Source organism: Homo sapiens, chromosome 10 (genome assembly GCF_000001405.40).
Source record: "Homo sapiens chromosome 10, GRCh38.p14 Primary Assembly".
In the NCBI taxonomy this organism is placed as follows: Eukaryota; Metazoa; Chordata; class Mammalia; order Primates; family Hominidae; genus Homo; species Homo sapiens.
The window spans coordinates 126,193,042-126,213,332 of record NC_000010.11 but is presented as its reverse complement, the minus strand read 5'-3'; the positions used below and the strand labels follow the sequence as shown (position 1 = coordinate 126,213,332).

The window sequence follows — 20,291 nt, the reverse complement described above, 5'->3', positions numbered from 1 at the left end:
TAAAGAACGAACCATATGCACATCCCCTCATGGATGATCTAAATTTATGTTGTCAAGTGAAAACGAAAACCTATAGCATTTTATTGTTTATAAAATTCTGGTTTATGATGCTTTTGCCAGAACACAAATAAGGTTACTATATTTAGTAGATCTTGGAGCTAAGCCCTCTCCTAAAAGAATGGGTACATTCCTTCTACAGGTATTTATTGAGCACTTATTATCTGCTCAACACTGTGCTGGATACGACAGGAAAGAAATTGTGAACCAAATGTGAGTCTTGTAGAGCTCTTGGAAGGCTTCGAAGGGTGGGGGTGCACTTACTAAAGATCCCTCCCACAATTCTATGAATGTAGTAAAAACCACCAAATTATGTGCATTCAAAGGCTGTGTTTTATGGTATGTGAAGCATATCTCAATAATGCTGTTATTTAGAAAAAAAAAGTTACTCTGACTGCATGAGAGAGAATACACAAAAGGCAGGTGGTAGGACCAAGCTCAGGAGTCCAGACACATTCTTAAGCATTTAATCATAACAAGGGAGAAAAGCCTTTGCTTACTGTGATAGCAAAATTGAAGAGAATCCATCTCTCCATAATCAAAGCTGCTCTTTTAATTAAATTCAGAAGAATTCAAATGCTCATGCTTAAGAGATACCTGTATCAGTGGCTAAAGATGATAAAATTAGATTAGCAAGGCAAGACTGAGAAACCAAGATAGCCCAGTTTTCTTCATATATGTAGGAATAGAAGGGATTGACCCAAATAAAATAAAATAAAATAAAATAAAGAGGAATGAAGAGCTGCTGCTTAACTCTCTATCAAGTTTTATTTGCATTTCAAGATAGTTACCAAAAGATAAACCAATGTTTAATCAAGATAAGTACATCTTAATTTTTTCACAAAGCTGAGGGGCAGGATACATTTAGAATATACCTTTTATTCCTTGGTTCAAGATAAAATTAGTAGATTTTGGTCACTTGGAAAATGACAGCATCATGATCATTATTAGAACAAATCATTCTTGTTTCCAAATTCTAATTAACCCCAGCTGTGTTGATTCAATATGGGCACCATACTCAGATTGAATTTTCACATCTATAGATGAAACTTTTTTTGGAGTTTGTGGATGAGTATGCATAAAAGAGGAGAAAATCCTCATTTGGAAAGTGGGAGTCTGCCCCTGAATCTTAATCACCAGTGCGGTACCTGGCATGGCAATGTACAGCCAGGCTGGTGAGCTGCGCAGCAGTCACGCCTGGGAGTGAACAAGACCCAAATTCACAACCTTTCCAGGCAATGATGAAACCCCAGGTAAGTCCTTATTCCCTCCCCATCACCCACATTCTGCCTCCCACTCTGGACTTCACAACTGCTCCAGTCTAAGCATATTATTTGGACAGATTTGTTTCAAGTAACAGAAAACCCAACTCAAAATAACTGAAGCACAGAGGGTGTTTATCGACTCACGCGGTCTCCCTCACTCTACTGAACTTTCCTCTGCATAGTTTTCATTATCCATCTGGATCTGTCCACAGGAAGCAGAGATGACTATTGGCAGGTCCAGCATCACATGGTTCAGGAGGCAGAGATGACTATTTGCGGATTCAGCATCACATGGTCCAGGAGGCAGAGATAACTATTGGCAGGTCCAGGATCACATGGTTCAGGAAGCAGAGAAGGCTATTAGTGGGTTCAGACTCACATGGTTCAAGAGGTAGAGATGACTACTGGAGGGTCCAGGATCACATGATCCAGAAGGCAGAGATGACTACTAGCGGGTCCAGGATGACATGGTCCAGGACCCAGAGATGGCTACTGGCAGGTCGAGGATCACGTGGTCCAGGAGGCAGAGATGGCTACTGGCAGGTCCAGGATCCCATGGTTCTTAAGTTCTTTCTCCTTTGAGAATATGTGAACTCTCTTTTCCAATGTCCTTGGCAACCACTGAAAGAAGAACTTAAGTGAAGCACCCAGCTCTTGAGGACCAATTGCTGAGCCCGGGAGGGTGGGGTATGCCGCCTGCCTAGCTCCATTTGGCAAAAGAACAGGGGAACAAACACACTTCAGGCAAGTTTTGATGCAGCTATTTGATATCTCAATGATGGGTTCTGTATACCTGGACAGGGAGTGCCCTGAAGGGAAGCTCCACCTTCATTCTTTCTATGGCATCACCTCCAGCCACCCCTGTGCACACCCTGTGGTTGCAAATGGCGAGAGCAGCTCCCATAACTCACATTCTAATGCCACAGCCCCAAACAGAGGAAGAGAGAGGCAGCTCCTTACACCACAGTGTAAGGTGCCTGAGTGGCACCAAGACCCCACCCTTGGTGGAGTCAACTCCACCAAAGGACAAAGATTGAAAATAGGAAAAAGGCAATTACTCAGAGGAAAATATGGAGGATATTGGCAGAAAACAGGGACCAAAGTGCCACCTACCTGGAAGCCACCCATAAATGACCCTCGTAACCTTTCCATGATTTCCTAGTCTGCCAGACTTCTCACAGCCTTGCTCCTGCCCTATCAGCCTCCCTTAATGTCCAGAAAAGCCCCACTTCTGGGTCAACCCAGCCCTCTGCTCTCCTGCTCTGTCTCCTCCAGTGCAGGTTTCACTGGTGGAAGGAACCTTTCCCTAGGCATATGGCTGAATCTCATCCTGGGCTCTCTGGTGACCTTCCTCGTGGCCCAGTCATCATCGTCCATATCCATGTTCATCTCCTCCACCACCTTCTTCACTGGACTTCTTTTATTCAACAGTCAGGAGGACTCACTCACGTCCTGTCAGCCAGGAAGCCATCCACGACATTCTCTCTGTGGCCCTGCCCCTACCCCACTTGTTCCACCTTGCTCTTTCCACCTAGCATCTGACATGCTGTGTGGTCATTGCCTCCTCCTGGATTGGGACCTGCCAGGGTCGGGTGCTAGGTGACTCACACGGGGCTGATGTCCAGAGCAGTGAGGAAGAAATTGCTGTAGGGGCTGTCTCTCTCTCAGGCTGAGGACCTGGGGAGGAGTAGATGCAATAACATTTATAACATTTATAGAATGACCAGCACGGCGCCTGACACAGAGGAAAGCATTGGTCAACAGGAGCTGCTGCTAGTCCAGCTTTGTCACGTGCTATTTCTGGAAGAATGAAATGGAGTTCACCACGCAGAGATGAAAGGAAGGACCTTCCCCATAGAGGGTCAGCCCAGGAGGAAGGGAGCAGGCATGAATGTACCTGGCAGTTGGGGAAAGATGGGAGATTCAGTCATCGAGTTGAGTGTTGCATCTGGAAAGTCCAAAAACCAAGCCTGAGAGTTAACGTAGTACCCGGAGGATCCCGAGATGTAGTTATGTGAGTCTGCATTAATAAAATGATTAAGGAGAATAAGTTACACATGAGGAGTGATCAGCAGTCGCCTGTTCCCAGTGAAGTTGTGTGCTAGCTAGGATAATCAGCTGTATCTTGAGCTTTTCATGGGTCCAGACCTCTAAATCTATTGAGTCGTGTTCTGCTGTCGAACTTAGTGCTCATAGGCTTGGGAGTTACGGTAAAGGAAAAGTAAAGAACTTCTTGTTTTACAAAATCTTTTTCTTGGATCCTCTGTGGTTTGAAACCTGCATTCAATATAACAATATAGGCCTTGTTTTGTCACCCTCTTTCTGAAAACTTTTTATATCTAAAAATAGCTGCTGACAGAATGCAGCTAAAATATTTGGATTATTTCAATCATCATGTGATCATTGCCCTAAACTCAACAGAGTTTGTAAAATCTGACTCCTGTGTTTGTCGCCAGCAAAGCTGTGACAAATCATCATATTATGGTTATTAGGACAAATTCTAATAAATTCTGTGTGACAATAGGACACCCCAGTGATTTATTTTTCTCACCATCAATTATCCTTATAAATTCTAAAGAATAATCTCTGCTTAAGACAGTTTTGTCTTTCCTGCCAAGACAAGAAAGGAACAGCACTATGGATCAGGTAATTGTTAGGCATTTTTATCAGTTTGAAACAATTTACATATCTAACAGAATTTTATAGAGGTGTCTAAAAAATTTATACTCAGGGATGCTACAATAATAAAGTTTTCAGAAGCAGCATTAGCTTTTTACCCCTTTTCATCAAGATGTGAACAGTCTACATTTTCTGGAAGTAGCCATAAGAAGCAATTAGAAGATGAAAATATCCCTCCTATGTTGATAGGATTTTGGCTTGCTGCCAAGATTCCCAACAGTGAATTGACAGCGTTCTTCTTTCCTTTGGAATTCTGATTTTCATTGCTCTCTTGCTGGTCTCAATTTTGACAGCAGAATAATGAGTAATAGAAAAGTTTCATTAATTCTGAAAAGAGATGTCTTGTCATTTGACAATTCTCAGAGAACATTCTTACGATAAGAAGTTGGCACGTAACTGAGGAAAAAGCTCAATTTGTATAGGCTAGGGGATGTGATCACCAGAAAGATGTGGGTGGTAACAGGAAAAAAAAAAAAAAACTTTCTTTTTTCTCCTTTCTATCCCGCAGTGTAAGAGTTTCTGATGGATATGATTTAAAGAAGTGTGCTTACTCCATTGGGCTTCATAGCATTTTCCTGCAAGTGTCAAATGATCATTTTAATCAGGTTACCAGATGGTTCTGTTTCTGCTCAGTCTTCCTGTCTTGTGAGTTTCCATTCTCTTCTACCTGAATTTTGGAGTGTAGATTTTATCCCCCAATAAACATGAAATAGATTTCCTGATGGCCAGTCAGCTGCCGTTGAAAAGTAAAGATAAATCCTACTTTTATTTATTTTTCTTTACCTTTACTTCATTAAGAAATCTATGTGTGGTGTGCTTATCCTGTGCCTCCCACATTTATTTGTGCTTGTGTACAATTGCATATGAATTTTTAAGAGCTCTGAAAGCCATCTGACCAACCAAGAACCAGTGTCTGATGAAGCTTGAACAGGTTTCTTACCCTCAGCCCTATTGACTCTTGCAGAGGAGGGGATAATTCTTTGTTGCTGGGGGCTGCACTGGGCATTGTAGGATGTTTGGCAGCATCCCTGTCGTCTGCCCACAGTCTGCTCCCCTGATTGTGACAACCAAAAGTATCTGCAGATATTGCCAGTGTCCCCTGGGGTGGGGCACAAAATCACCCTACGCTCCATTAAGAACCACTGATTTAAAATTAAGAACCTTTTATGGTGGCTTCTTTAAATCTCCCAGGGAATTCTTTCCCTTATCTCAGTCAGCTGATAGAAGTATTTCCTTTATCAGAGCAGCATAAATCCCACATCAAGAAACAGAGTTTGAAAATGGATATAATCCCCTACATAAAATCTAATTCTGTGAATAATAACTTTCTTTATTTAAAATGTACATTATCAGAAAAAAATTACAGAAATCATTGAAATATGTTGTTCCTTGCAAGGCTGGCTGTCTACTATTTTTCCTTTTAGTGTTTTTCATATTGAAACATGTAAGGGTTTCTGTATATTTTTGTAATCTTATCAACAATATATCCTGGAATTGAATCTCTAATTCCTGAGAGATGATGATAAAGAGATGAGTGAAACAAGAATCTGGAAGAATATTGGTGTTCGAGCAACCATTTAAATAAATAACAGCAGCTGTAATCTTCTTAGTATCAGTAAGTAATCTCAAATAATATAAACTTTGAAAGTTTTACAAAAATGTTAGCCACAAAAGCAATTATATCTTAGTAACCAATTGCTATATGAGTCAGTATAATTGGAGCAGAAGCAATCGTATTTTATATTGAGCTTATTAGTAACAGACAAGGTCCTGGGCAGAGTCTTCAATACCAATAGCATTTCAAAACTGAGAAAATAACATTGGAATTGCACAGATGTATCATGAGCACTCTTTGAGAATGTTCTCTTAAATCATTTTAATGTGCTTTCACATAAAATATCAGACCTTAATTATAATAGCTTGCGTAATTTGCACTATAACTTAGCTAAGATTATAAGAAAAGATCCCAATGCATGATCATTTCTTAGTGATGAAATCAAAAGTGTGGCAACTCTACCAATATGTTGGGAGCCATTGCATTCTGCCAATGAGGCACAGTAAACCCCTTTCCCTTTTCTGTGTCCTGTCTCCCCATTCCATTGTTTCCCCCAAGCTTTCTCATCTGTGATCTCAAGATGCTCATCTGAGGTGACTTCTAGTTTATGTTCTTTATCCTTGCTTTCTGTGTTAGTCCGTTTTCATGCTGCTAATAAAGACATACCCAAGACTGGACAATTTACAAAAGAAAGAGGTTTAATAGACTCAGTTCCACATGGCTGGGGAGGCCACACAATCATGGCGGACGGTGAAAGGCACATCTCACATGGCAGCAGACGAGAGAAAAGAGAGCTTGTGCAGGGAAACTCCCCTTTATAAAACCATCAGATCTTGTGAGACTTATTCACTATCAGGAGAACAGAAAGGGAAAGATCTGCCCCCATGATTCAATTACCTCCCACTGGCTCCCCCCCGCCCCCACAACACATGGGAATTCAGGGAGCTACAACTCAAGATGACATTTGGGTGGGGACACAGCCAAACCGTATCACTTTCCTTCCTCCCTGCCTGCAGAGAACTGCAAAGCCTTCAGGAGAAAGAAGACCCTCCTACTGCAACATACTTAGAACTCAGAGCATGATTCTTGCATGTTTCTTTCTTGAAATGTTGGTACTTGCCAGCCATGTAATCTTATAATTGCCTGGTGTTTGGTCTTAGCAGATACAGATAAACATCCCGTAATAGAAAACGATGTACTTTTTGAGTGAGATGTGTTGTGTTTGTCAGTGTTGGATATGAATACACACATTCTAGAGGCAGCAGACTGGGGGTTTCTCTTTGCTCATGGGATATTATGATTAACTTAATTCCCTGCTTGAGTGCCGAGGAGTCACCTCTTTCACTTTGACGCTTGTGTTTGAAAATATTTTCAAAATTGATTCATCTGTCTCCCTAGACTAAGCAGGATAGTGTCCCACCTGAGTATACTTTAATCGTCTATCGTTTTGGGATTTAGGATCTTGAAGCCTCTCAGAGTCAGAATTTCTGGTGTGTAGGGCAAGTACTTTTAGAAAGGGTCAGAAAGATTCATGTCCATGTGGTAGTTCTATAGACTAGTTGCTTTGCCTTGCAATTGTTTTCTTACAATGTGTTTCTCCTGAATAAAGAAAGCTTAACAGCAAAACAACATCAGAGGGTTTTGTGGTCTAGTTATTTGAGTTCAGGTTAGACCCAGCTTTGCTATACACAAGATAATTTGTTTAGGTGCTAGAAAAAAAATTGGACATTTTTCCAGACACATAAAGTCTAGCTAAGCAGGCCAGATAATAGCCTTCCCACCAAGATTTTTAGACTATGATGTGTTATTTTTTATGTGGTTGAGTGTATGTACTAGTGTGCATTATTAGAATTTATTCAGATACCAGTGATGTTTTGTCTATAAAATAAATCATATGACCAGACTAACTCAAATTTAAAAAGATATCAACTGAAAAACAATAAAAAGAAAAATCTCCAGGATATACCGATCAGTCTTTCACAGACAGTAACATGTTATACATCATCTGGAACTAAAGAGTCATGAGTAATGGAAGGGCAGAGATACAAGAAGTCTGCAAAATTTGAGATAAGATTCTATATCTTAGCCTGGGTTTTGTCTTTACTTTTGGAAACTGCAATGAGTGCATATTTCAGCCACCTGATGCTAAGCATTCACTTGTCCTGTGGAAGCCTGTCCCTTTCAGAAGGATATTCTATGTGACAGACAGATCAGGTTTAAGAAATATACAGATCCTGAGCTGGCATGGGCTGAGTTGAGCTTCAAGAAATGGTAACAAGCCAGTGGATTTGGGAGATTTTTCATTTTAGGTTTTACAACTCTTGCTGACATTAAATTAAGACTTTTGCCATCTTATATAAAGTGTATTCCAGTGATTCAGCTATTCTAACTTAAGAGGAGTGAAGTTGGCCTAAAGTACACAGGGTTGGTTGTTTTTTTTTTTTTAAACATACTTTCAGAATTCTTTTGGTTTTAAGTGACAGAAAACCAACTCAAACTGCTAAAAGAAAAGGTAAAGAGGTTTTGTGCCACATAACTGGGAAGCAAGGTACAACTTGCTTCAGGTGTGGCCTGATCCAGGGGCTCAGAGTGTCATCATGGCTTTGGCTCTCTGGTTGTCTCTTGGTCAGGCTCTCCTGCTATGCTGTATGACAAAAGCCATTGGCATCCACAGATCACACAGTATTAGCTATGGAACTCCAGGGGAAAGGTACCATCTTTCCCAAGTACCTTCTGGAAAGACTTGGTGGTGTCCAAATGGCCTGGCTTCCGTCAGGTGCCTAGCCCCGAGCCAATCCACCCTGGCCAAGAACCTGGGGTTACTCTTGGCAAACGTGGTTCTCATGCCCATTCTTGTGACTGTGGGTGGGTTCCAACCTATCTAATCTACTTAGAATAGCGCAGAGTTGGGTAGTTGTGACAAAGACTGTGAGGCCTGGAAAGCCTGTAATATTTATGATCTGGCCTTTTACAGAAAAAATGTGCTACCCATTTGGTAGGTAAGATAAGCCCGTAAATAGGGCCACCTTCATGAATGTGCAGTCCGAGTGGTCACACAAGGCCTCACAGCTAGAAGGGCCCATGGTTGGTTTAATGCTCTGCTATCACCGTCTTTAAATTCTTAACAATTTATGAACAAAGGTGCCACATTTTCATTTGCGGTCTCTTGAGTTACTCATAGACTAAACGTTGAGGGATGAGAGGGATTTCCCAGAGGAAAATGCCCTGAAGAAAGGGCATGAAGCGGGAATCTGCTTTCTGTTCCATGTGAGTAACAGAATACCTGACCCAGAGTGACTCAGCAATGAGGAGCTTATTGTCTCACAGACACAGTCACCCAGAGGTGGCACTGCTAGGTGAGGCTAATTTAGCAGCTGACAGCACCTGCATCCTGGGCCAGCCTTTCTGCAATTCTCTGGGCTTTCTCCTAGTCACAGGTGATGGAAAGCTCCAGTTCCAAGCATCACATCTTCACCCAACAATGTCTAATGGAGGGGAAAGGGAAGCCATGTTTCCTCCCTTGTATTACGCTTCTTGTTAGGGAAGAAAATGTTTCTAGAAAGTTTCCCAGCAGATCCACTGACTGGAGCTGGCTGCCAGGGGTGGGGAGATTTCCATTTCTAGCCTCTGAAGTAGGAGGTGGCTTCTCCATGAGGAACCAGGGGCTGGAGATAGGAGCTGGGGGTTCAGCAGCCAAAGCATTCGCCACTGGCAGCCTTGCATTGGCAGCTCCTACTGTGAATAATTTGTTGCAGAATTCCTTCAACTCCTGGGTGAACTTCTGGGGACATTGAAAAGATGACTTAGTTTGGTTCACACACACACACACACACACACGCGCGCGCGCGCACTCACTCTGATTTGCTTGATTTCTCCAAGAATACATCTACCACAGAGAGTGAAGTCCACCACAGAGGGTGAAGTCCATCACAGGCAGCCACACTCCCAACACAGAACTGGGCCATAGCACAGTCTCTGTGGGTCACACTCTCACATTGCCCAAAGTTATGAAACTTATTTTTTTAAATAGTTCTGCTAAGCAGTTTCTGAAGAATTTGTGGGAGTAGGAAGGAAAATTTTACCTCAAAAGATATTTGATCAGATCCTGTCAGATAAGCAAAGGGTATTTAGGGTATGTTTGTGAAACATGATTTCTTATCTAAAAATTGAACAGCTCTTCAGTAAAATGGTATTTGATGCTTTGATAGAGTTTATGCCCAAATCATTTTTCTTCCTGACTTCTGTATTTCTGCGTGTTTATGCTTCTATATTTATTCAAAAAGAACGTCTGAAATGTGTAAAACATAATTTTTCTTGGCTGAAGCACCTCCATTCCACACAGGAATTTCACTATACTTGCTTTTTATAAAATAAAACGTCTGTTGCAATATTTACCTTAAATATGATTTTAGTAACAACTGAACCAAGCTATTTCTTCTCCTTCAGACTATAATTCTTTCCAATAGGTGTTGGTAGGAAGGCATAGACATATTAATATGCATGTCAAATAAAGAATACTTTCTAGTTTCTTATAGGAAATTACTACTACAATCCCTATAGATTAAATAAAATGTACACTCTGATTAGTTATTAAGGTAAGAAACTTTCAGTTTAGAAATAAAGGTTTTTTGTGGTTTTTACTGAATTAAAAACCTGACCATCGCTGTCTCCATAATTCATTCTTCCTTCCTTACTCCTTCGCTGATGACAACTAGTTGGGCACCTGAACTTTCACAAAAGATGTCCAGTTAAAAGGAGCCAGTATGGAACTTTGTACACAATTTCCCCTGTATTCTACTATCTGCAACAATGTGAAACTTTTTAATTTTAATTTTTAATTTCAATGTGAAATAAAAAGTCTTGAAAGGAGACATTTTTTTCTTTCGGTGGTTTAAAGATCGAGTCTCACTTTGACCTTCGGAAAAATGTTAGAGCATTTCAGAGACACGTACGTCTGCGAACCTGCAGTGATTTGGGGACTTTATACAACTTGAAGCCACTTGAGTTCTGTAGACACTCAGAGATTATGAGAATTCTGTTGATATGAAGCTCTTTTGCCTCTTGGCCCCGGCAAAATTGTACGTTGTGAGTAGTTTGTATTTTTAGTTGAAGGTTTTGCTTTGGAGTTCAACTGCAATTTTACTTTCGTTGTCATCTTAAATCTGTAATTTTGAGAGAAAGTTTTTAAAAATATCTTCAATCCACTGCAGCAATTATTCTGACTGCAGAGTGACCTTTATCTTCTTCTGGTTAAAGAGAGAGAGAGAGAGAGAGAGAAGTAGTAGAGCATTTTGGGGTTTTTCAAACCCTCGGATTACAGGGTAGGACACCTCAAGATACAAAAGCAAGATTTTCAGACTTCGTAATGTCATTGGATAGTCATTAAATTTATACAAAATTACAGTTCAGTGAACTTAAGGATAGGCTGAAAAAGGTAAAAGTGGTAATAGTCAGAAAGGCTGAAATCTGGAATCAATTAACTGAAAACAAATTAACCAACAATTATGGTATGCCCTGTTTATTTTTCTAAAGATCTTGAAATAAAGCAAAAGTTTTCCACAGGTACTAATAGCTAGAAACCCATGGGAATAAGTTTCGGAGTAGAACTTCCCCACATGGGGTGGATCTCCAGCCACAGTGGAAGAAGAATCGACTGAGATGTTTGGAAGTTTTAATTGCCAAGGCATTAAGACAAGAGTGAATGGAAGTGGACAAGGAGGCCTGGCACTGGTGCTGTACATCCTGTGCGTTGCAGCCCCAGAGCCTTTCCACTGGACGAGCTCTGACCTTGCAAAAAGAAGGCCCGCCCATTCTTTCCCTGGACGTTCTTTATGTGAACGACAACGTTGCTGAACTAGCCTGCTGCCTCTCTCTGGGGCAGGCCTCTCTGCTCGAGGTAGAAGGTCTTGCTCAGAGCCAACACCTCTCTGTTTTTGTTTCTGCCTGGTCTTTCTTTCTATCAATGGGAGCACCTCGGTTCTCTGGGTTCTTACCACTTCCCTTTTTCTTTCTTCATTTCACCGTTGTATCTCCAGGTCTTTGATCCACTCTAAGAATGGCTTCTCAGCTCTGTTCCTTGTCACCACCACTCTCTCATCTGGTGACTACATCATGTCTTCCCTGTACATTGCCAGTTCCCCATCTCCCAGGGCTGCTGTAATGAAGCACCACAAACTGAGTGGCTTCAAACAACAGAAACTCGGTCTCTCGCAGCTCTGGAAGGCAGAAATCCTAAATCCAGGACTTGTGACTTCTGGCAGGGCCACGTTCCCTCCCAAGGCTCTGGGAGGAACCCTTCCTCGCCTCTTCCAGCTTCTGGTGCTTGCCTGGGGTTCCCTGGCGTTTTTGGCTCGTGGCAACAACACTCCAGTCTCTGCCTCCCTTGTCACTTGGCCTTTTCCCCTGTTTCTCTTCTGTATCTCTGTTTCGTCTCATGGCAGCCTCCTCTCTGCGTGCCTGTGTTCAAATTTCCCTCTCCTTGTAAGGCCCACACTACTCCAGTATGACCTCAACTTAGCTTGGTTACGTCTGCAAAGAACCTATTTTTAAATAAAGTCACCATCACAGGTGCCGGGAAGTAGGAGTTAAACGTATCTTTTTGGAAGGACGGTTCAACCCACGGCACACATCATGTTATCCTTTCTCAAATGATCCCTTTTTCTCACTCCGTTGTTCAATAACCATTTGGCCTGTGGAAGAAATTCTGACTACTTTAGCCTGATGCTCATACTCTTTTCCAGCCTGGACAACCCCACCTTTCTAGGATCACGTCCTATTACCTCCCATATGAGAAATTTATGCCCTGCCCAGACTGGTCTACTGTTTCTAGAACATTCCATGTGCCATTTACAATATCTGTGCCTTTGCTTACAGCATCTCTGTTGCTTTGATTTAACCACCACCACCACCCTGCCCCCATCACGTACACAAAATCTAAGTCCTAACAACTCTCCAACGTCCATCTCAAACCACATCCTGGGCTCTTTCTCTAGAGTCTTGGAGACTCCAACCTATTGAGAATCCTCTCTCCTTTGAACATTCTGAACCATTTAGAGCTTCTCATCTGGTGCTTTGTTGCTGCTGATGTTGCTCTTGCCATAAATAGCTAACGTTCCTGGAGAGTTCACTGGGCACCGTAACTGAGCTCTTTGCACACATTATCTTATTGGCACCCCACGGCAGCTCCACAGTGTGGGAACCATTATATCGTGGTGTTGTCGATTAAGATGCTGAGGCTGAGGGAGGCAAATCCCTTGCCCAAGATCTCACCAAGTAGTGGGAGATGGAGACAGGAGTCGTGCTGATTTTTCTGACTCCAAAATTCTGGTTTTTAACCTCCAAATGCTCCTGCTTTTATTGGTGTTGGTTACTGTTCAATTTCATTTTCATAATTAGAGCATAAACTTCCTGAGCCTTGAGACCATACTTGAAGGCATCTGATCGTGTTTGGGGATCAATGTCATGGTTATTAATCTGTTACTCCATTTTCAAAGACAAAAACCATTGAGTTAACTGAAGACCTAGGAAGTCTGGAGTCCTTCCTGCTCCCTCCTAGTGCCCTCAGACCATCCAGTCCCCGTGTGAGCTGCACTTCTTGCCAACCTTAACAGCTTGCACCTGTTCCACCTCATTATGTGGCCCAGGTCAGACCCTGCATGGAAATACCAATTCATAGAATATTCTAATTAATAGAACAGTGAATATTAAAGAGCATCTCGTAGGTGGTAATTGTCTGGTAACTAGTGTGTAAGTCACTGTCCTTCCTTCTGTTGATGGACTATATACATAGGTCATGGTGCGTGTGGAAGACCCCATTGAGTGCCTGTATTTTGTGCCAGTGGGCTTTTGTTTTTGTTAGTCAATCATTTGACCAAAAAGCATTGCTTTGATCAGGTGCACACTGTCTATGTTTGTTAATAGAACAAACCTTAATGCCTTTCTCAAGGTCATGCACAATCTCAATTAGCTAGAGAGACAGGGATAGGATGACTTATTTTAAAAGAATGCATCCTTATTCTTTCATTATCAGGGAATATTACTGACATGTACAGAAACTTTATATGTATTCCATTTGTAATTCTAAATGTTTATTTTTCTCTGATTTAGTAAAATAACTCACTGAAGTCTAAAAATGAAAACCTGGTTTTGTTTAGATGTGTAAGACGGTCCGAGACACACTCTGGGAAGCAGCAGCAGCTTCCCACAGACAGGGTCACATGATGCATGGGGCTGATGACACTTGATGAGCAGAGGTTTATGGGAGCGTTTCTGCGGTAGAATCCCAACGCATTAGCTGGAGGCCAGGAGGGGCTGCGAACTTGACAATATGGCTGAGTCATGGGTAGTCGTTGAAATTGGCTGGTGGCCGTTATGCCTAAAATGACTCATGCACTGCAAGCAGATATGATTGTTGGCATGACTTGAAATGAACACCGGCCATTTCAGCGGGATGGTCAGGCCCGCTGATCTCGATGGTGATTAGGTGGATAAGTTTTCAGCAGGGCTGGGTTGCCTCATCCTCCTGTCATTGTCCAAGGCTTTGAAATCACTTTTTCTTACACTTTACTGAATCATCTAGATAATTGCCCCAAACGAAACCTTCATTCAGGTGGTTAGTCTAAACTTATTGGGGTCTTCAACCTGGTAAGCAGGTAGTTTTAAAGTGAGACTGAGGACTTGACTACATAACTTAAATTCCTTATTCCTAGGGCCCCAAAAGCACAAAGCTCACCATAAAAAGACACAGATGCCCTGAAAGAAATTTCTGGAATCTACAGGCCTTCTGCTCAAGCCTACCTTCCTTACTCTTTGATATCAGATAGTGGTAATAAAATGGGACATATTTCTGATATACTGGGAAAAGTCATTTCTTCCCCTCTTGAAAAATGTTCTCCTCTTTTCTCACCACAGCTGGGAGTTTCTAATATGAATAAAGTGCCAGGAATTTGGCAGTAACAGTATATTCATAAATACACATGAAATTTGGTGGGGTTTAAAGAAAAATAAAATGGAAAGAGCATATTGTCAGGTTTAAGCACAGACCTACCTTGAGATGAAAACTGAGTCTGTTTGTAATGGTTGTTCATTTGCTTTGCAAGGATGCGTGCCAGGCACTCAGCCTCATCCAGAGGTGCAGGCAGAGATCCCCGGCACCCACAGCTGGGTAGGAGCAGCAGGGGAGGTGCTGGATCTCTGTCTTCAGGCCCAGAAACAGAAGCTGCAGGATTCACACGAGCTAAAGGCTACACTGGCCCTGGTTGCACATTTTGCGTCCACAAACCAGATAGCAAATATTTCACTGCAAGAGCCGGTGAAATGCAGAACATATGGCCCCTCCCAATGGCTCCAGGAGCTGGAGACAAATCCAGCATGTGGGTGATGAGACTTGCCGGGCCCTTCTGGTCTCTCTCCTGGTTGTGTAAATTCTGTCGTCTTACACTTCATTAGACCAGAAAAAGGTACAGACCTTCCTGATAGCGTGACCTCCCCTCTGCCATGGCAGGGTTGAGATTCAGTCTTTGAAATGTGTCTACTGATGCCGGAGAGCATGGGCGTCTGCAACGGTGACTGACCCCTCTCCTGTCCTGCATCTGCACCTCCCACAGGGGGCTTTCCAGGGAGGGCCGTGGACTCAAGGGAGGAGAGCAAGGCCCGTAGTGGCTGTCCATCTTGACTGAACACCAGCCCCAACCCATGAGGAGATACCTGGTTTGCATCTTCACGCTTCTTAGGAAACAGTGATGTTAATTTGGAACACATGTCTTTGTGTGGAATGAAGAACTGTAATTTCACATTGAAGCCCCAGTCCCTTCCCTCTCCCATTCCTGCAGTTCACGGAGGTGATGTCACCCCATGCGTGGTGGAGACTTAGGCCTTCCACGTACCACCCGCTGTCTGGGGCTTTCAGGCCTGTGAAGCATTTTCTTGCTTCTTCTCCACTCATAACCTCCCTCCCTTCCCAAAGATGTCCCTACCAGCATCACTTCTCTCTGTCACATGGCCACCTAAGTATCTTTACTTCAGCCTCCAAATTCATTGACTATTTGTTGGGCACCAGTGATATATAAATACCAAATGCAGCCAGGCAGGCTCCTGCATGCCAAACCCAGGTCTGTTTCTCAGGCTTACCTCTGTGTCCTCAGATGCTCAACCATCCGGCCTTCCTTAAATCAGTCATTTAGTTCCCAGCAATGAGAAATTCCCTGACTTCCATTCCATCTTTGTGCTGCTCCTCTTCGGACTCCTGGCTTGGTTGTGCTTCCTCTGCAACCCCAGGAGGGAAGCACACGACTGTCCTCTCCCACAGGGTCACTCACAGTCTTGCTGTGGACCTCCTGTGGTGCACAGCCTCCAGGCTGCATCACCAAAACCCTCAACTTGCCTCCCTTCCGCTCAAGCCTGGGACATGTATCCCGAGCTTGTTCTATGTTCTGGGCACCAGGCTCGGCCTCAGGGATTCGAGGACAGATCAGATGCAGCTGGCTTCTTCCAGAGTTCACCAATGGACTTTGTCCAAAAGATGCCTTGTCACTCCCTGTAGGGGCCCTAGTCAGTGCCCTTTCCAACCAGCTCATCTTTGCTTCGTCATCTCTAAGTCTGTCTTTACAAATAGCTCCTCACCTAGCCATGTCTTCCACACCACCCCTGCCTCCACCTGGGACCGTGTCTTCTTTATCTCAGGTCTGGATTGCACGGCAGATTTCTACTTCTTTCTCTTCTTCCCATCTTAAAGCCACAGCAGCTCCCTCTTACCCAAAATGATGGGTCAAATTTGTCAGCCCGGCTTCCAAGGCCTCTATACCCTAGATCCCCTGCCCTATCTGAATTTTTCCTTTGTCCCCTAGTCTCCCACTGAAGCCAAACGACATTCCCTGATTTTCCCTGACTGACATTTTTGAAAAGTTAAAATCAAATTCCCCACTTTTTTTTTATTTTACAAGAAGCAACAGATGCTCCTTACAGAAAATTACAGAAAGGAAAGGAGGAAATCTTTAAGTATTCATAATCTCACCCACCAGCAACTAACTATAACTAATCAGGCAGTTACCATGAACTATGACTTTTACTACACAAATTTATTTCTGAGCACGTGTATTATGTATTGTAGTTATTTGAGTGGATGAGTTATTTTCTGTCAACCCCAGTTCTTACCCACTCTTGTATCCCACCTAGCATCCAACATGACTCAGCGACATAGAAGGGGCCCAGTAGGTCATTGAGCCAATCAGAGTTGCTCAGTAAATGTGTCTTCAATCAAATGTAGACAAATAAGTTATGTCAAAGCACAAACTTCAGAAAGTTAAAGCCATGGCTCTCACATAAACCTATAGTGAGCATCTGTCAAAGGTTTATGCAGCTGATTGATGAGGGAACCAGCAGGATGCCAAAGCAGGCTCAGGGAGAACAAGGAAGGTTGAGAGAAGCCTGCTAGCTCACATCCAGAACCGGCTCATGTTCTTCCAGGCAATGAAACCATCACTTTAGCGCTTTATCTTTTCTGCCTGACAGATATCACTTGCCATTTCTCAGTCTTCTGCAAGTTAACATCTAACTTTACAGAATCAGGTCCCTAATCAATAGCAAATGGTAAATCAACCCAAATAGCATCCCCTAGAATGAGGGTCTACAAACGTTTTCTGTGAAGGGCCAGTTATTAAACATCTCAGACTTTGCAGACCATGCAGTCTCTGTTGCAGTTACCCCACTCTTTTTGCCACAACACAAAAGCTGCCATAAGCAACACGTTAAGTAGCTGCATTCCTATAAAACTTTATAAGAAACAGGCCCCTGGAGGCCATCCGCTAACCCCTGCCCCACTTAGATGCATTCTAGGCCAGCTTGTGAGACGGTGATCGGGTTTTACTTTGAAAGCAGACATAGTGAGCTTTTCACCTTATTTCCAAGTTTTAGGTAACTTAACAGTTTCATGGACCCCTGTCTTTTAGATATCAGTTCCCAAGTTTATCATATAAATTGTATCATATAAATAGAGTAGTCACATTTAAAAATGGTGTCTAAGAATTCAACAATATTTAAGATTGATACATAATGCAGATTTTTAAAATTGTATTTTTTATTGAAAAATTTAAGAATCATATATATCATATACATGTTGTTTTGAAATATGTATATATTGTTGAAGGGCTTAACTGGTCTAATTAACGTATGTTGGTTTTTGTTTTTGTTCTTGTTTTTTGGGTGGGGGATGGAGTTTTGCTCTTATTGCCCAGGCTGGAGTGCAATGGTGCGATTTGGCTCACTGCAACCTCTGCCTCCCGGGTTCAAGCGATTCTCCTGTCTCAACTTCCCGAGTAGCTGGGATTACAAGCACACACCACCACACCTGGCTAATTTTTCTATTTTTAGTAGAGATGGGGTTTCACCATGTTGGCCAAGCCAATCTCGAACCCCTGATCTGAGGTGATCCACCCACCTGGGCCTCCCAAGGTGCTGGGATTATACACATGAGCCACCACACCTGACCAACATATGTATTATTTCACACATTTTTGTGTGTATGTGGTGAGAACACTTAAAATCTATTCTTTTAGCAATTTTCCAGAATGTGATACACTGGTATTAACTGTAGTTACCATATTGCACAGTAGATCTTGAACTTATTCCTCCTAACCGAAATTTTGTGTCCTTTGACCCACATCTCTCCACCCCCAAGCCCTCCACCCCTGGTAAGCTCTGCTTTTAAGAGTTAACTTTTTAAGATTCTACATATAAAGGAGAACAATATTTAAGGCAGATACGTAATTAGTGCAGATTTTTTAATACTACAATCATGCGACCTTAGCTTAAAGTAACAAGACTATCAAATTCTACCTCACTGCCATAGGCATTCAAGCGTTGCCTGCCAGCAGAATTTTGGGGGCCACATGAGGTCTGATTATCCCGTTGAGACAAAGTTTTGAAGATGTTCCTAGCATTCTGTGTTACATACGTATGTCAACAGACATTATACAAGGGTACGATTACAGGCAAATACAGAAACATTCACTGCAGACCCAGAACCAGGGTTGCAACTTTCTACCCTGAAGCTCTGAATGAGCAATTTTGCTTCCACAAAACCACATTACCCATTAGGCTGAATTAATATCCTTCAATTGAGTGGTCTTGGGTTGGTAATTTACTCTGTATTTCATTTGTGAATTTGTTTTGATTGGTGTGTTATACACATACATTTATATTTCATTTTATTCTTGCATACATTTAAATACTATTGGGATAAAAATATTGTAAGTCAACACCAGGGGTCTCTGAGAATTGGAGACTTTCTCTACGTGTGAGAAATGCTACATTAAATCACGTTTTATTTGTCACTGGCTCAGCCAGATTACCCAAGTCTGCTTCCCGATAAATGGTGAGGTGTACACTTCCCTTTGATTCCTTGCCTTTTATTTGTCTCAGAAAGCTTAAAGGATTCTTCTCTAGTCTGCACACAGGTGGGCTGACAGTGTCCAGAAAGCTTTTTTTTTTTTTTTTTTTTTTTGAGCATATGAACTTATTTGATGTCTGTGACTGCTGGCAAGGGACAGAAGCACCGAGGATATTTAGTTGTTTGAAACTGAGCCACTCCAAAGTTTGATTTAACATTTACTTACATAACACGCTGTATTTAAAGTCTTATGTATATTTTTGATTATCTTCTCCTAATAAGCACCTGGAGCGTTTCTTGAATGGTGCTCTCTTCATTTCACAAGTGTAACTTTTCCAGGAAGAACATCACTGCTTCCAACGCATTTCAGGCTGTACAACAGCAGTCTCTCTGTTTCCAAATCAACCCCTCAACTTTGGTTTCTCATATCAGGCCTCTCTCACATGTTTATTTTATTTTATTTTATTTTATTTTATTTTATTTTATTTCATTTTATTTCATGAGACAGAGTCTCACTCGGTTGCCCAGGCTGGAGTGCAATGACATGAGCTCACTACAACTTCTGCCTCCCGAATTCAAGAGATTCTCCTGCCTCAGCCTACCGAGTAGCTGGGACTACAGGCGCACGCCACCACATGCAGCTAATTTTTGTATTTTTAGTAGAGGTGGGATTTTGCCATGTTGGCCAGGCTGGTCTCGAACCCCTGACCTCATGTGATCCACTCGCTTCAGCTTCCCAAAGTTCTGGGATTACAGGCGTGAGCCACCGCACCTGGCCCTCTCTCATATGTTTAAAAGGTGTGATAATGCCATTGTTGTTTCTTTATCTTTTGAAAGAAAGAATCTACCCCTTCTCTGGGTTTCATAGCTTAGTTTTATTTAAAGTGCCCAGTTTAAACCACACAATAAATTAATCCAGTAAGCACATTTCTCTAATGTATTTGACCAGTGGCAGGAATCAAATAGATTTTGTCCATCATTGCCATCAGATTACAGTGACTTTGCAAATTAAGCAAAACCTTAACTGTCATACTGGTTACCTGAGTTCATTGTCTTCTGGAAATGTTTATTTAGTCTTGTCTATTGCATATGGTTTGTCTTTTTTTTTTTTTTTTTTTTTTTTTTTTTGAGATGGAGTCTCGCTCTGTCGCCTAGGCTGGAGTTCAGTGGCACAATCTCGGCTCACTGCAACCTCTGCCTTCTGGGTTCAAGTGATTCTCTTGCCTCAGCCTCCTGAATAGCCAAGACCACAGGCACAGGCCATCACACCCGGCTAATTTTTTATATTTCTAGTAGAGACGGGGTTTCACCATGTTAGCCAGGATGGTCTTGATCTCCTGACCTTGTGATC

The 20,291-nt window shown here is 42.3% G+C and overlaps 1 protein-coding gene across 5 annotated transcripts in view, besides 1 other annotated feature; it reads left to right on the top strand.

Annotated features, from left to right (window-relative positions):
• The window catches only part of ADAM12 (ADAM metallopeptidase domain 12), a 376,087-nt gene that overhangs the window by 175,145 nt on the left and 180,651 nt on the right, over positions 1-20,291 (top strand). The gene's annotated exons all lie outside the window — the stretch shown is intronic.
• Positions 12,722-12,902: a silencer, noted in NCBI's record as "fragment chr10:127889000-127889180 (GRCh37/hg19 assembly coordinates)". NCBI's record gives its function as "represses an EF-1alpha promoter that drives an FKBP-Casp9 reporter gene in an ReSE screen in K562 erythroleukemia cells {active_cell/tissue: K562}" and the evidence as "EXISTENCE:reporter gene assay evidence [ECO:0000049][PMID:32094911]".